General features: G+C 34.0%; 1 protein-coding gene across 23 annotated transcripts in view; it reads left to right on the top strand.

Annotated features, from left to right (window-relative positions):
• SPAG16 (sperm associated antigen 16) overlaps positions 1–15,372 on the top strand; it is a 1,126,038-nt gene that overhangs the window by 9,645 nt on the left and 1,101,021 nt on the right. For 17 of the 23 annotated variants that reach the window (NR_047660.2, NM_024532.5, XM_011511820.3 and 14 more), the window contains exons 2-3: positions 1,956–2,002; positions 3,154–3,249. Coding sequence is in view for 19 of the 23 variants with exons in the window: in NM_024532.5 (NP_078808.3) it covers positions 1,956–2,002; positions 3,154–3,249 (143 nt within the window). In the remaining 4 variants the exon portion in view is untranslated. The other 6 variants (NR_047659.2, XM_011511823.4, XM_011511819.3 and 3 more) reach the window with 6 other exon arrangements.

Raw genomic sequence — 15,372 nt, forward strand, 5'->3', positions numbered from 1 at the left:
CCCCTTCTAATGTCTGTTTCTGTAGAGTTGGAATTTTTTTTAGATTCCACATATAAGTGAGACTATGCAGTATTTGTCTTTCTGTATCTAACATTTCACTTAGCATGACCTTCAGGTTCAGTATCTGGAGTAGGGTGTTAAATAAGAAGTAACAGAGTAGCTTTGAAACTGGGGATTAGGGAGATGTTGGAAATACTTTGTTAGTGAAAGATAAAATACCTCGAACAGATTGCTAGTAGAAGCCTTATGATCTTTAAAGAGGCTGATGGCAAGGAATTAGAGAGTGAGGCAAATACTATTAGAATCTGTTCTACAGTAATAGATAATTAATAAAGGAGGTATTTTACTCCTTGTAGTATTTAATATGGATGAATTAAGGTTATGGAATAGACTGCAAGTATGCAACTATTTTTTTGTTTAATCATTTAACTAGCTATTTTTGAGCCTAATTACTTTTCACTATGTTATTAGGAGAGGCACTTATTCATGTTTTACAATAAAATACTGACCTTTTGACAGATACCTGGTATCTGAGGATTGGTCATAATGGAATGGGGCTTAAGTGTCCCTGCAAGGGATAGGGATAAGACATACAGGATGATTACTTGTGATGGAGCTTAGTAGCAGTAATAAATTTATAGGTTTAGATCTCTGTGGAAAATAATTGGCAAACACTTTATGTATTTATGTAGCACAGAAAACCCACACAGAACATGGAGAGGCAATATAATATGGTGAAACCTAAACATCTGGGCTCTTTTAGGTCCTAGCTGTGGAACCTTATGCCTCTGATTCTTGATTTGTAAAATAGAGTTATAGTTCCAGCCTCATAGGCAGGATGAGGATGAAATTAGTTAATACATGGAAAACACTTAGAACAGTTCCTGTCTCCTATTAAATACTGTGTAAGTGTTATCTGTTCTTGTTATAAGCAACAGAAGTTGTTATATACCCTTTCAGCTAATGCTTGGTAAACAATGCCAGAGACATTTTATAATCAGCAGCAAAATGAAAACTAGGCTAATCTTATCTTTGATTTTCATAACCATTACCATGCATTAAAGTGTTTAATTCACACATTTTAAACTTGGCATAACCGAGTCAGTGTAATCGAAAAAAATGTAAACCTAACAATAATAACAACAACAACAACAAGCATTGCTGGTGTGTGCTGTGATTTAACATAAAATATTGTCTTGAAGTTTTCATATGTAATTAGAGTAACTTATAGTTTTTGAAAGTCTTAAAGCAGTTCTCTTAGAATTATTTTATGTTAGAATCATTTCCATTGATATTTAATTTCTTCAGTATTTATGAAATTTTGAATTATGATTGCTATATACTTTATATTCACTTAAAAATTAAGTTATCTTTCCTATAAAGATAATTTAAAAATGGAGATACATGGAAAAGTAAAATTTAAATTTTACTGATAAAAGCATTGATATGTGTTTTTTTCTTAAATATTGGCGTGCATTTGTTTTGTTCATTCACAATACTTTAAACCAAATAAAGTCACATTTTATTCATGTACTGTGAATAGTTAACTCAGGAGCTCTGGAAAATTCATTGTGGTTTAAGATGAATTTGAAAAAGTTACTGTTTTTTCTTACCTGTTTCTAATTCACGCTACCTTATGATATTATGTATATTTTCACAAGCCTTCATAGAATCAAGTTTGAAATCATTAGATAGATAGTAAACAGTCAAAAGACAGATAGCAATGTAGGTTTTCATGGATTTGAGTTGTGAAAAATAATGAAGTATTTTATTTTTAAATATCTAGATTTATAGGCTATATGGGGAAGACAAATTTTTTAAAGATTAAATTATATATATTTACCAACTTCCTGGTGAGATAGTTGAATCCAATACTATATTTGAAGGTCAAATCAATTTTTGTGCAATAATTTTATTCTATATTTTTTGAGATTAAAACTTGACAAGATATTCAGAGGTCACCATAACTGAAGCATCTGAAGATGACTATGAATATGAAGAGGTAACATGTTAATTTTAGGTGTTTATTCTGTAAATTTATTGCAGTCATTCTCATGAAATGCTCATTTTATTTTCTGAAACATGTAAGAACCATTCTTTTTTCTTAAGAGATACCAGTTTTTCAACTGAATTTAGCTAGTATCAGCTGATTAAGAATGAGATGTGAAAATTCTGTTTAAACATTTAAATTGGAAAATACATCTGATTCTTTTGATTTTCCTGTTAATCGTCCTTCAGGTTCAGCTCCTTATTACCTGCCTTGTAGATTCCTACCATAAACTGTTATCTCTGTTCAGGAGGCACTTCCTTCCTGTCATCCAGTCTGCTCTTGTCAAGGATTCCTAGATTCCCACTGCTCAGTTGAAGCGGAGGCCTTATGCATCCTTCCAGCTTAACAGTATTTCTATCTAATGTGGTTCCTATCTCAAAGCTTTCCTTTAATTCATTGTTCCCGAGACCTATCATTACTTCGGACACTTGGAGGATAAAATCACTGGTAGATGACAGAGGCTGTGAATGAAACTGTGTGGAAATAAGCCTGGCGAGCCTGGGTGAGCAAGAGACAGGATGAAAATTGGAGACAGGCTTTTTATTACTGGTAAAATGGAGATTATGTGTACCACATGAAGTTCCTGAATGAGTTAATAAATGTAAAAGGCCTAAACCAGTGATCAGTACATAAGAAGCGTGTGTTAAGTCTTAACTGTCATTAATCATAATTGCAATCCATCACGTCCTTTCAAGATTTTAATGCTCAGTGAGTTTTATTTTTTAATAAACGAGAGATTTTCAGTTGCTAGTAGTTCTGAAAAAGTGATGGTGGAAAGCACTTGAGATGGGGCAAGAATGGTGATATTTAGATAGCCTTATTATTTTTTCAGCAGAATTGTTAGATTACATTTTCTATTATAGATAAAAGCAGTTGCCCACAAACTAATCCTGAATTTATTAGAAGTGACGTTTATTGACATTTACAAGGAAGTCAGAAGAAAGCAGTTATTCATTTTTCATGGATCTTCAGAATGACATGGTATTTTACATAAAGTATTTCTTTGATCCTTTGATTTGTGAAGCAAAATTATTTCTGAAGTGAAATAAAGTATTTTATATTTCTGCTCACTCTTCCTATCCTTCTCTTTCTCTGTGATCTAGATACCAGATGACAATTTTAGCATCCCAGAAGGTGAAGAAGATCTGGCAAAAGCAATTCAGATGGCCCAAGAACAGGCTACAGATACTGAAATTTTGGTGAGAATTTGAACACTAGTGTAGTCTATAGTTTAGTGGTAGTGCTTTTTATATGAAGTTTGGAAAGTCTTTTAAATGTAAATACTAGTGTAGCTCAGTCATCTGTTATATCATTTTCATCTCTGTTTATTTGTGATCAAGCCTTCACTTTAAGGTAAGCAGTCATATTTACTCTTTTTTGGATTGCCATTCTCCACATCATGGTCACTCTTGCATGACTTTGTATCAAGTGACACCTTCTCTCTGAACTCTGATTAATCTCACTGGAGGATAAACCAATAATTTTCAACATTTATGTTTAGAATTTAGTGTCATATACAAGTTCTACAGTCTGTTTTGTAAACATTTTGTGTTTTTTTACATGAAAGTATTAATCTTACAGGGAATGCTTAATATGGCTTTCTTGTGAGGCTTATGAACTAATTATGTTAAGGAATGTGGTGGGGGATGTTTTTTGATTATAATACAATGAACTAAAAGTGCATAAAACTGATGGCATTCCTCTAAAATTGAAAACTCATTAAAATTGTGAACCATTTAATATGATGGCAAAAATATTTTTAAAAATGTTTTATTTTGTACCAACATTAAGAAGCATGCTTTCTTTCAGTGTTTAACCCCTTTACTACAGAGAAATGTGAAGGAATTTGTGAAACTCCTTTTTGGTTGCAGATTTGCCTTCCTCAGTGTGGAATTGTATGTGAGACTTTACTGCATATTATACCATATCATTCTTTCCATATTCTGTAGACTTCTTCAATGTAGAAGTCCAATAACTCCTTTTCAAAATGTCTGTCCACTCAAAATTGGAATAAAAGCTCTAGAGGAAGATTTTTTCAGGCCAGAATTAATTGCATTCTGTTGTAAATGGAGGGCTGCAGCTCATAGTAAATGACATTCTCTAATGAATCCCATGGACATAGCTTCTTCTTGGTAGACACAAAGTGAAATCTATTCCATAGACTTAGTCTGTTGGATATCTCAAAGCAATAATTTGTAGGAATAGTTTTAAAATGTATGAATAGCATTTTCAGTGACATGCAACTGATATGTTTATTCATTTATCATCATCCTCTTGCTTTACATCACTAAGGATTTTGACAAATTCTTTATGTACCACTCATTTGTATCGGTATTTGGTAAAGTACATGTGGCTAATACAGTGCTTGGCACATAGTTGGCACTAAATAAATAGCAGTTAAATAAGAGAATGGATAAGTGGATCATTGAATGAAAAAACTGAACAAAACTGTAATTGCTTCCTTCTGCTATCATGGTCGAAAGTGTTTGTAATGCAAAGATAAATCAGAGGAAAGTTGAGGAAGAAATACATTGTAGTAGCTGTTGTATCTACTGAGCCAAATATCAGTAATTCTTCTTTTATCAATTTATTGGAAGCTTTTCTTTATCATAACCTTACATGAGTTAACATTCTTGATTTCTGGCATGTCTGTAGCTGATTGACTCTCATTTAGCTTCTTTTTACCTCATTTTAAAAAATTCTTTGGAGGAACAGTATTATGCTGAAAATTCACAGAAGTTGTCCTTAAGCTGTTAAATATGGATTCATTTTATCATAAGCATATTAGTTATATTTTTTAATTTGCTTTTTATTTCTAAAGTATGTTAATCTTCAGTAATTTGAATTGTGCTATGGGCTTTCTCTTTTAAAGAATACTTATTGCTTGTTAAATCCATTTTTTGTTCTGATCTTATATATATTCATAAACAAGATATATTTTCTTCTCTGTTAAAGGATACAGTAATCTCTATGCACAGAACTCTTAAAATTTTCATTGAAGATTGCAAGTAAATGGTTATGATACTATTAGGAAAGTTAAGTTGAAATAATGTAAATTATCTTATTTGTTAAAATATTAACAAAAAATGACTTATTGCGACTTATTGAATAGTTGACATTTAAATACATTCTTGTTCTTATGATTTCCTTTTTTTTTTTTTTGAGACGGAGTCTCACTCTGTCGCCCAGGCTGGAGTCCAGTGGCGCAATCTTGGCTCACTGCAAGCTCTGCTTCCCAAGTAGCTGGGACTACAGGCACCTGCCACCACACCGAGCTAATTTTTTTTTTTTTTGTATTTTTAGTAGAGACGGGGTTTCACCATGTTAGCCAGGTTGGTCTCGATCTCCTGACCTCGTGATCCACCTGCCTCAGCCTCCCAAAGTGCTGGGATTACAGGTGTGAGCCACCACACTGGGCCAAGTTCTTATGATTTCCTTTAAATGTGGGTAGTATAGATTAAATATTTGAGAATTGATTGCATGGTTTGCTTTATAAATTTTAAATTGTGTATTTGATACTATCCGTTTTCTTAGTGGGTTCAATGATCTGAATTCTGAATTAAATAATTTTCATTATATTTAAAGTTATTCTTGAAAAATATTGAGAAGATAGGAAATGTTATTAATCTATAACAGTTATGTAGTTTGATTATACTATCAGTAGTTTCTTGAAATTTAAGTATTTTACAGGTATGAATACAAGTAAAGGTAGGATTATATATATGTTCGTTAGATTGTGTCTGTGTGTCTGTATGTATTACTTAGGGATATTTGTATGTAAATATATGAAAAGAAAGGTCTACTTACATTGAAGCTGGGTCTCCCCTTCTAAATTCTGAGCCTTTTTATAAGTGTATTTTTGCCATTTTTTTGGATAATTCTTCAGCCTCTTTGGTTATTGATAGTTTATTCTGTTAATTTTCAAGGTACAATCTCAGAGGTCTTTTATACTGCTGTAATTACGTAATGACTTCTAATTTTTATAAATGTAGAATTTTGATCTTTAAATATGACAGTAGCAAGACACCCAAGTCATATAATTGTTCAATTCCCTGATGCTTTTCCTCCTCCTGCTACCCCTTTTCCTCCTCTTTCTTCTCCCTTCCCTCCTCCTCCTTTTCTTCCTCTTCCTCCTGAGAATTTAAGTAGAATTTATGGAATTTCTTTGGAATAATTAACTATTTTTGGAGAAGACTAATTGATGACTGACCCAAGCGAGAATGTTCTTTACCATATGTATCAATAGTTCTCAAAGTATTGTGGGAGATCTTTTGGGGTCCCCAAGACCCCTTTTAGGGAATTTATGTTGTCTTTCATTTTCCAACTACACACCTGCTGGAGGATTCTCCTCATGTAGCTCAACTGAGACAACATATCACAACAGGTCAAATGCAGAAAAAAATATGGGGATCTAGCTGTTCCTCTAAATACTAAAAAGATTTGTAAAAATTTGTAACAGTGTCACTCTTCTCATTAGTTCTTTTTCTGTTTTGGAAAATGTAGTTAGTTTTTATTAAAAAAATTCTGTCTATGTTATCTGTGTAGAAGTTTTGCTATAGTTATTTTAAAGTAAATAAATGAATATTTTAAAATTTAATATCCAATATATAATTCTTGATAGGTATAACTCAGATAAATAAGTGCTGTCTGGAGTACTCAATAATTTTTAATAGTATAAAGTGTTGCGAGAACATAAAGTTTGAGACATTTTATAGAATTCTATTCTCAGAAATTTTCAAATATGTTAAGAATTAATATAAAAAAGTTCTCTTGCTATTATGTTAATATACCAAAATATAGTCTAGGATTAATAAATATGTATTCCTTTTATTTAGATCTTAATCTCACGAGGGATTAATATTAGGTTGGTGCAAAAGTAATTGTGGCTATACCATTACTTTTAACGGAAAAAAACGCAATTACTTTTGCATCAACCTATACCATTATGTTAACTCTCACATCATAATGCTAATGGATTAAATTCTTAAACAATTTTCATTACTTTTAGACTCAATTACTAGTCTCAAGAAAAAGAGCTGTTTGTCATTATTGAATTCCCATTCTCTCCATGTACACACTTAATTTTAGTTAGAGACCCAGGCTCCTTGTACTCAAAGCCATGTCTACAGATTATCCAAGCCAATATATTTGACTTAATGTGAATTAAGGAGTTGATGAAATGAAGCCCCAAATAAAGTAACATTTAAGTTTTAAGACCACTTGGATTTCATTGTTTATTTTTTTGTTTCTCACTGGTCAACTAAAGTTGTCAAAGGAACTCACATTAAAACAGTTCAAAATTTGTCAAGATACTTAATTTTAATATGTGGTTTAGCACTTCTTTGCAATTCAACATTTAATTAGTTCTTAAGTCTGGAAAGTTTTATGTCCTCAACATCTTTCATATCCTTCTCTTTACCTTCATCCTCACTTAGTCTACCTTAAAGCTACCCTCTTTCTTTTCTCATCTGAGCTACAGCATGCTGCTGGTACTATGCTTCCTTCTATTCCCACCTAAAAGATGTGTCTAATGCAAATTTCAGTTTATCTCCCCTCTACGTAAATTCCCAATGTGTCTACCCTTCCACCTGCCTTTGCCTTCTTGATATGCTTCCTGTTTAGTTTTTCCACTTTATCTTTGGCCCTTTCTCCGTAAGACCCTGAGCCTTAATGGATTGAATTGTCACTCCTTGTTTTTGCCTCAGATGTTTTCTTGCCTTGAATATTGGTTTATCTTTCTTTATCTGTTGTATTTCCTCATCGTCTGTAACGTTCAACCTAATAGTCTCCTTAACATAGCCTTCATTCACATATCTAAGGCAAGGGAAATATTCTTCTCCATTGTGTATCACTTCACCTAGCAGATTTCTATTGTTGCAATCATAACACAATATAGAATCCTGTCTACTTAGAAAATGTCAACTTTAGAATGTTCATAGACAAAATGAAGCTATGTGCTAGAGCTACCATTGTTTGTCCTCAACAGATTTCTGGGTCACATGTGGCTAGAGTAATTTTTGATCATTCAGCAGTCTGCAAAGTGAGACCATGTTTCGCTAGTTTGTAGATTGCTTGCTTTTTTGTGCTTATTCTGTGGTGTTTTGTTAACCTCATAATTAAGTTAGTTAAAAGCCGTAATGAGAGTTGTATATAATGTATAATAGGGATAAAAGTGTAACTTAAATTTCTTAAGTATACATAATGGTTGCATGTATGATATCTGTGGATACCTGAGTAGGATTTTGTAATCAAAATTTGTAACAAAAGAGCTTCTGTATTATAATGTTTTGTTTTTGCTAAATGAACCGTTCAGTTCCTCAAGACAGAACTGTCTTCTTCATGTTTAATTCCCAGCACCTTTCATGGTACCTGGTACATGGGAGATGTTCACCAATTATATGTTGAATAAATATCCTACGTAAAGGTAAAAGAGATATTCATGATCACATTAGAGCTTGGAAGGGGTGTGTGTGTGTGTGTGTGTGTGTGTGTGTGTGTGTGTTGTGTATAAATGCAGAAGAACTATAAATTGAGGTATATTTACAAGCTTATACATTTTATTGTACAGTATAAATAAGAACCAACACAGTTTAAGGTGGTCGTATTTCTTTTCTGTGGGAATGCTTCAAGGTGTGTGCATGGTGCACATTCAGGAAGACACAGAATGCAAACATTTATTTGAAAGGGCAGGAATCTGCCAGGTGTGTTGCAACCGTACATACAACAAACATCCTTTAACCTGCCCATAAGTGTCTTTAGAAATGAGAATAGATACACCCTCCTGCTGTCTGTCTTCCTTTTCCTGTTTTCCAAGTTCCTTCCAACAATCAGCCTAAAATATCATTTTCAAATTTATTGACCAAAAAAACTGAGGTAGCATTTATTGTTGTATAATGAATGTTCACTTCCAACTATATTTTGCCCTGACCTTACAATTATATATAATTTCCTGTGCTAGTAACCAGCACACTGCAAAGACTTGAAGGCAGACATCTTGTACTCTGCTAGTTTGGTATCTCCCATGACATTTGAATTGGCATCCTGTACTTCTTATGTAATGTCTTTTTAATAATCTTTGGAAGAATAGTCCAGTTTTTTTTTTAATTTTTAATTTTTGAGGATACATACTAGGTACATATATTTATCGGGTACATAAGATATTTTGATACAGGTGTACAATGTGCAATAATCACAGGGTAAATGGGGTTCTATCAACTCAAGCATTTATATTTCTTTATATTACAAACAATCCAATTATACTCATTAATTTAAAAATTACTATAAATTATTGTTGAATGTAGTCACTCTCGTGCTATCAAATACTAGATCTTACTCATTCTGACTATATTTTTGTACCCATTAACCATCCCCTCTCCCCTCCCCAGCCTCTGGTAATTATTGCTCTAGACTCTGCCTTCGTGAGTTCAATTGTTTTACTTTCTAGCCCCCACAAATAAGTGAGAACATGTGAAGTTTGTCTTTCTGTGCCTGACTTATTCCACTTACATAATGATGTCCAGGCCCATCCATGTTGTTGGAAATGACAGGATCTCATTCTTTTTGATGGCTGAATAGTACTTTATTACATAAATGTAGCACATTTCCTTTCTGCACTCACCTGTTGATGGATACTTAGGTTGCCTCCAAATCTTAGTTATTGTGAATAGTGCTGAGATAAACACAATAGTGCAGATATATTTTCGATATACTGATTTCCTTTCTTTTGAGTATATTCCTGGTAGTAGGATTGCTGAATCATATTAAATAACTCTTACTTTTAGTTTTTTTGGGGAACATCTAACCTGTTCTTTATAGTGGTTGTACTAATTTACATTTCCACTAATGGTGTACGAGGGTTACTTTTTCTCCACATCCTTGCCAGCATTCATTATTGGCTATCTTTCAGATAAAAGCCATTTTAACTGGGGTGAGATGATAGCTCATTGTAGTTTTGATTGGCATTTTTCTGATGATCAATGATATTGAGCACCTTTTTATTTAACTGTTTGCCATTTGTATATCTTCTTTTGAGAAATGTCTATTCTGATCTTTTGCCCATTTTAAAATTACTTTTTTTCTTTAGAGTTGTTTGAGCTCCTTATATATTCTGATTATTAATCCCTTTTCAGATGGATAGTTTGCATATATTTTCTCCCATTCTATGGGTAGTCCCTTCACATTATTGATTGTTTCCTTTGCTGTGCAAAACTTTTTAACTGATGTGATCCCATTTGTCTATTACTTGTCTTGGATGCCTGTGCTTGTGAAGTATTGCTCAAGAAATTTTTGCCCAGACCAGTGTCCTGAAGAGTTTCTTTTGGGAGTTTTCTCTTAGAAGGTCCACGGTTTGAGGGTGTAAATTTAAGTCTTTAATCCATTTTGATTTGATTTTGTGTATGACAAGGGATAGGGGTCTAGTTTGATTCTTCTGGATATGGATATCCAGTTTTCCCATCACCATTCATCGAAGACACTGTCTTTTCCCCTAATGTATGTTCTTGATACCTTTGTCGAAAATGAGTTCACTGTAGACGTATGGATGTGTTTCTGTGTGCTCTGTTCTGTTGGTCTATGTATCTGTTTTTATACTAGTACCATACTGTTTTGTTTACTATAGCTCTGTAGTATAATTTGATGTCACATAATGTGATTCGTGCAGTTTCCTTCTTGTTCAGGATAGCTTTGGCTAATGTGGGACTTTTTTGGTTCCATATAAATTGTAGGATTATTTTTTCTGTTTCTATGAAGAATGTCATTGGCATTTTATTTTGTTGGGGATTCCACTGAATTTGTAAATTGCTTTGGATAGTATTGACATTTTGGCAGTATTGATTCTTCTAATCCATGAACATGGACTATCTTTTCATTTTGTTGTTTCTTTTTCGATTTCTTTCATCAGTATTTTATAGCTTTCATTGTAGAGAGATCTCACTTGATTGGTTAAGTTAACTTCTAGGTATATTATTTGTAACTATTTGTAAATGTGTTTTCTTTCTTGATATCTTTACCAGATTGTTAACTGTCAGCATATAGAAATACTACTGATTTTGATATGTTGATTTCATATTCTGCAGCTTTACTGACTTTATCAGTCCTTTTGGTGAATAGGTTTTTTTCGAGTATAACATCATAGCATTTGCAAACAAGGATAATTTGACTTCTTCCTTTCTGATTTGGATGCCCTTTATTTCCTTCCCTTGTCAGATTGCTCTACCTAGGACTTCCAGTACTATGTTGAATAATAGTGGTGACGATGGGCATCCTTGTTATGTTTCAGATCTTGGAGGAAAGGCTTTCAGGTTTTCCCCATTCAGTGTGATACTACCTGTGGGTCTGTCATATATGGCGTTTACTGTGTTGAGGTATGTTTCTTCTATCTCCATGTTTTTTGAGGGTTTCTATCATGAAGGGATGTTGAATTTTATCAAATGCTTTTTTCAGCATGAATTGAAAGGATAATATGATTTTTGATCTTCATTCTTTTGTTATGATGTATCACATTGATAGATTTGCATAAGTTGAACCATCCTTGCATTCCAAGGATGAATCCCACTTGGTCATGATGATGACCTTTTTAATGTGTTGTTGAATTAAATTGGCTAATACGGTGTTGAGGATTTTGCATCTATGTTCATCAGGAATATTGGCCTTTTAACATGTCTTTGTCTGGCCTTGATATCAGGGTAATACTGGCCTCATAGAATGAGTTTTGAAGTACTCCCTTTTCTTGTGATTTTTAGAAAAGTTTGAGTAGGGTTGGAATTAGTTCCTTTTTAAAATGTTTTATACAATTCAGCAGTGAAGCCATTGTGTCCAGAGCTTTCCTTTGCTGGGAGCCTTTTTATTATGGCATCAATCTTGTTATTGGTCTGTTTGGCTTTTGGATTTCTTCATGTTACAATCTTGGTAGGTTGTATGTGTCCAGGAATTTATCCATTTCTTCTAGGCTTTCCAATTTACTGGCACGTAGTTGCTCATTGTAGCCTCCAATGATCCTTTAAAATTTCTTTGGTATTGGTTGTGATGTCCCCTTTTTCCTCTTGATTATATTTATTTGAGTCTACTTTAAAAAAATTTTTTTTTGGCTAATGTTTTGTCAATTTTGTTTATCTTTTGAAAAAACCAACATTTGTTTTATTGATCTATTGTATTGTTTTGTTCATTTGAATTTCATTTATTTCTGCTCTGATGTTCATTATTTTTCTTTCCTCTTTACTCTTCTCTCCTCAAGTGGAAGGAAGGAGTCTCTCGGGGTTAGGGGAGGTGTGGCACAAGCACTCACTTGGCTGCCCTGGCTGGTATCTCACTAAGTCATGTGCTCCTAATGTCCACTGGCTCTGAGCCCAGCATAGCATCATAACTTGCCAAAGAATTACAGTCCATGTGGTGTAGACTGCCTTTCAAGTTTATTTAGTACCCCAGAACCCTTTAGCCCGTGGTGGTGAGGCTTTCTGGAACTCAGGTTCTGACTGCTGGGATGGGCAAGTCCCCTCTTGCTAGGGCTGGTTGAAATGCTCCCTCTGGGTGATGGCTGAGTTCTGCCTGGTGTTGCTTTCTGCCATGATGATGCAGCACTATTTTCGAATGTAAAAAATTCCATAATTACTACAGTCTCCCTCCCACAGGACAGAGATTTTCTCTCCATGCCACTTGGCCACTGCCAGGGGATGGGGGAGGTGTGGTGTCAGCAACTCAAGACTGTCTTTTCTGCCTTCTTCAGTGCCTCTTTCAGCAATATGAAGTTAAAGCCTGGTATTGTGATTACTCACTTGATTTTTGGTTCTTATGAAGTTGCCTTTTTGTGTGAATAGTTCTTCAGTTTGGTGTTCCTGCAGGGTTAATGATCAGAGGTGTCTATTCAGCCATCTTGAACTGCCTCCTTCCAAATTATTCTTTTTGAACTTTACAAAAGTAATTTTACACTCTACCCCTTTGTCAGGATTTTTCTGTAGCCCCAAAATTTGCCTCAACTCACCACTATTGTGAATGTCATAGCAGCTATCAGTAATAAACATCAGTGTTGAATTTTGTTTTTTTTTATTTTTTTTACTTTATTATTATTATACTTTAAGTTTTAGGGTACATGTGCACAATGTGCAGGTTAGTTACATATGTATACATGTGCCATGCTGGTGTGCTGCACCCACTAACTCGTCATCTAGCATTAGGTATATCTCCCAATGCTATCCCTCCCCCCTCCCCCCACCCCACAACAGTCCCCAGAGTGTGATGTTCCCCTTCCTGTGTCCATGTGTTCTCATTGTTCAGTTCCCACCTATGAGTGAGAATATGCGGTGTTTGGTTTTTTGTTCTTGCGATAGTTTACTGAGAATGATGATTTCCAATTTCATCCATGTCCCTACAAAGGACATGAACTCATCATTTTTTATGGCTGCATAGTATTCCATGGTGTATATGTGCTACATTTTCTTAATCCAGTCTATCATTGTTGGACATTTGGGTTGGTTCCAAGTCTTTGCTATTGTGAATAATGCAGCAATAAACATAGCAGCATGATTTATAGTCCTTTTGGTATATACCCAGTAATGGGATGGCTGGGTCAAATGGTATTTCTAGTTCTAGATCCCTGAGGAATCGCCACACTGACTTCCACAATGGTTGAAGTAGTTTACAGTCCCACCAACAGTGTAAAAGTGTTCCTATTTCTCCACATCCTCTCCAGCACCTGTTGTTTCCTGACTTTTTAATGATTGTCGAATTTTGTATAGCACTTTTGGAAAGAATTTTTGGGGCAGCAAAGATCCTCTTTCCTCATTGGATTTCCATGTAAACATTCTGTGCATTCTGTGTAACCTGTTGTATAACCATTAACAGCTTGGGAAAGAGAAGGCGAAAGGAAAATTTGCTGCTGAGTTTCTGTAGGTGAGAATAGATCTGCTTATTCAAATAGTCAGCAAACAAATTAGAGACTTCTTGCCAATGCGAAGAAAATGACAGCACTCAAGAGACGATGATTGTTTTATTTTTTTAATTTTATTTTTATTGAGCAACACTTCATTCCATAAAATAGAATTAGTATTCCCTATTCCTTGGTATTTTTAAAAAACTACCAATTATTTTATTTATTTTGTACACTGACTTACATGATATAATAATTTTTATGGCTGTACTAATTTCATTTGTTGCTTGCTGAAATGTCTTCATTTTTCTAGTTTTAGGTCTGCTAAGATGTTCTGTCAGAATACTACATACAGTTTGAGTATCTTTTATCCAAAATGCTTGGGACCATAGTATTTCAGATTTTGGATTTTTTTTCAGATGTTGGAATATTTGCAAATACATATCAATGATAATGATATTTTGAAAATATGATTTAGTGTTATTCAAGTGCAAAGCTTGAGGATAGCCACCTGGGAAACACAGTCTCCAAAAGAATGAGTGAGTGTTCCATAGTGGGGAAGTTTTCACTTATATAGGCAGAAACAGAAGTTAACAGGGTTGCAACATTTTCCATACAAGGTCATTACATAGTTTGTAATGATTTGATTGATTACAGCTTGCTACATTCCAAGGAAGATTGCTTTGACATTCTGCAAGGAAGGGCAGTGTTCTAAAGTGGTCTTATATCTGGTGGTATTCCGTGTTTTGTAATCATTTTTAGGACAGTAATGAAGACATTTAATCTATAATTGAAGAAGCAGAAGTTGCAGCTTCATGCTATGTGGCTCAGGCCACATAGTCCCGTTCCTCTCAAGCCTTAACAAATATAAAGTTCCAAAAGCTATAGGTTTGGATTATTTAGTTTGACATATACACTAAGATCTCTTGGGGCTGGGACCCAGTTATAAACATGAAATTCATTTATGTTCCATATACACCTTGTACACACAGCCTGAAGGTAATTTTATACAATATTTTAAATAATTTTGTATATGAAACAAAGTTTGTGTTAAGTACTTGCATGTGGAATTTTTTACCTGTGGTATCATGTTGGTGCTTCAGAATTTTTGGCTATTGGAGCATTTCAGATTTTGGATTTTCGGATTAGGGATTGCTCAACTTGTACTTTAGGTTTTGAGGGCCATGAGGACTCTGTGGCAACTAGTCAACTATCTCATGTAGTGCAAATGCATCCATACATAATATGTAAACAAATGGGCATGGGCATGCTGTGCTCTAACAAACTTTATTTATAAGAACTGTTAGCTGACCCCTGATCTAGTTGATAGACTGACTGACTTCCATGTGGAATACTAGTGTAAGCTCCTGTTGTCACTAATTATTTTCTCCATAGTGTTTCTAAAAGTCATGGTACTAAAATTACTGTATTTCTTTTTAAATGATAATTAAAAGCATTAAAA

This window comes from Homo sapiens, chromosome 2, assembly GCF_000001405.40.
Source record: "Homo sapiens chromosome 2, GRCh38.p14 Primary Assembly".
Classification (NCBI taxonomy): domain Eukaryota; kingdom Metazoa; phylum Chordata; class Mammalia; order Primates; family Hominidae; genus Homo; species Homo sapiens.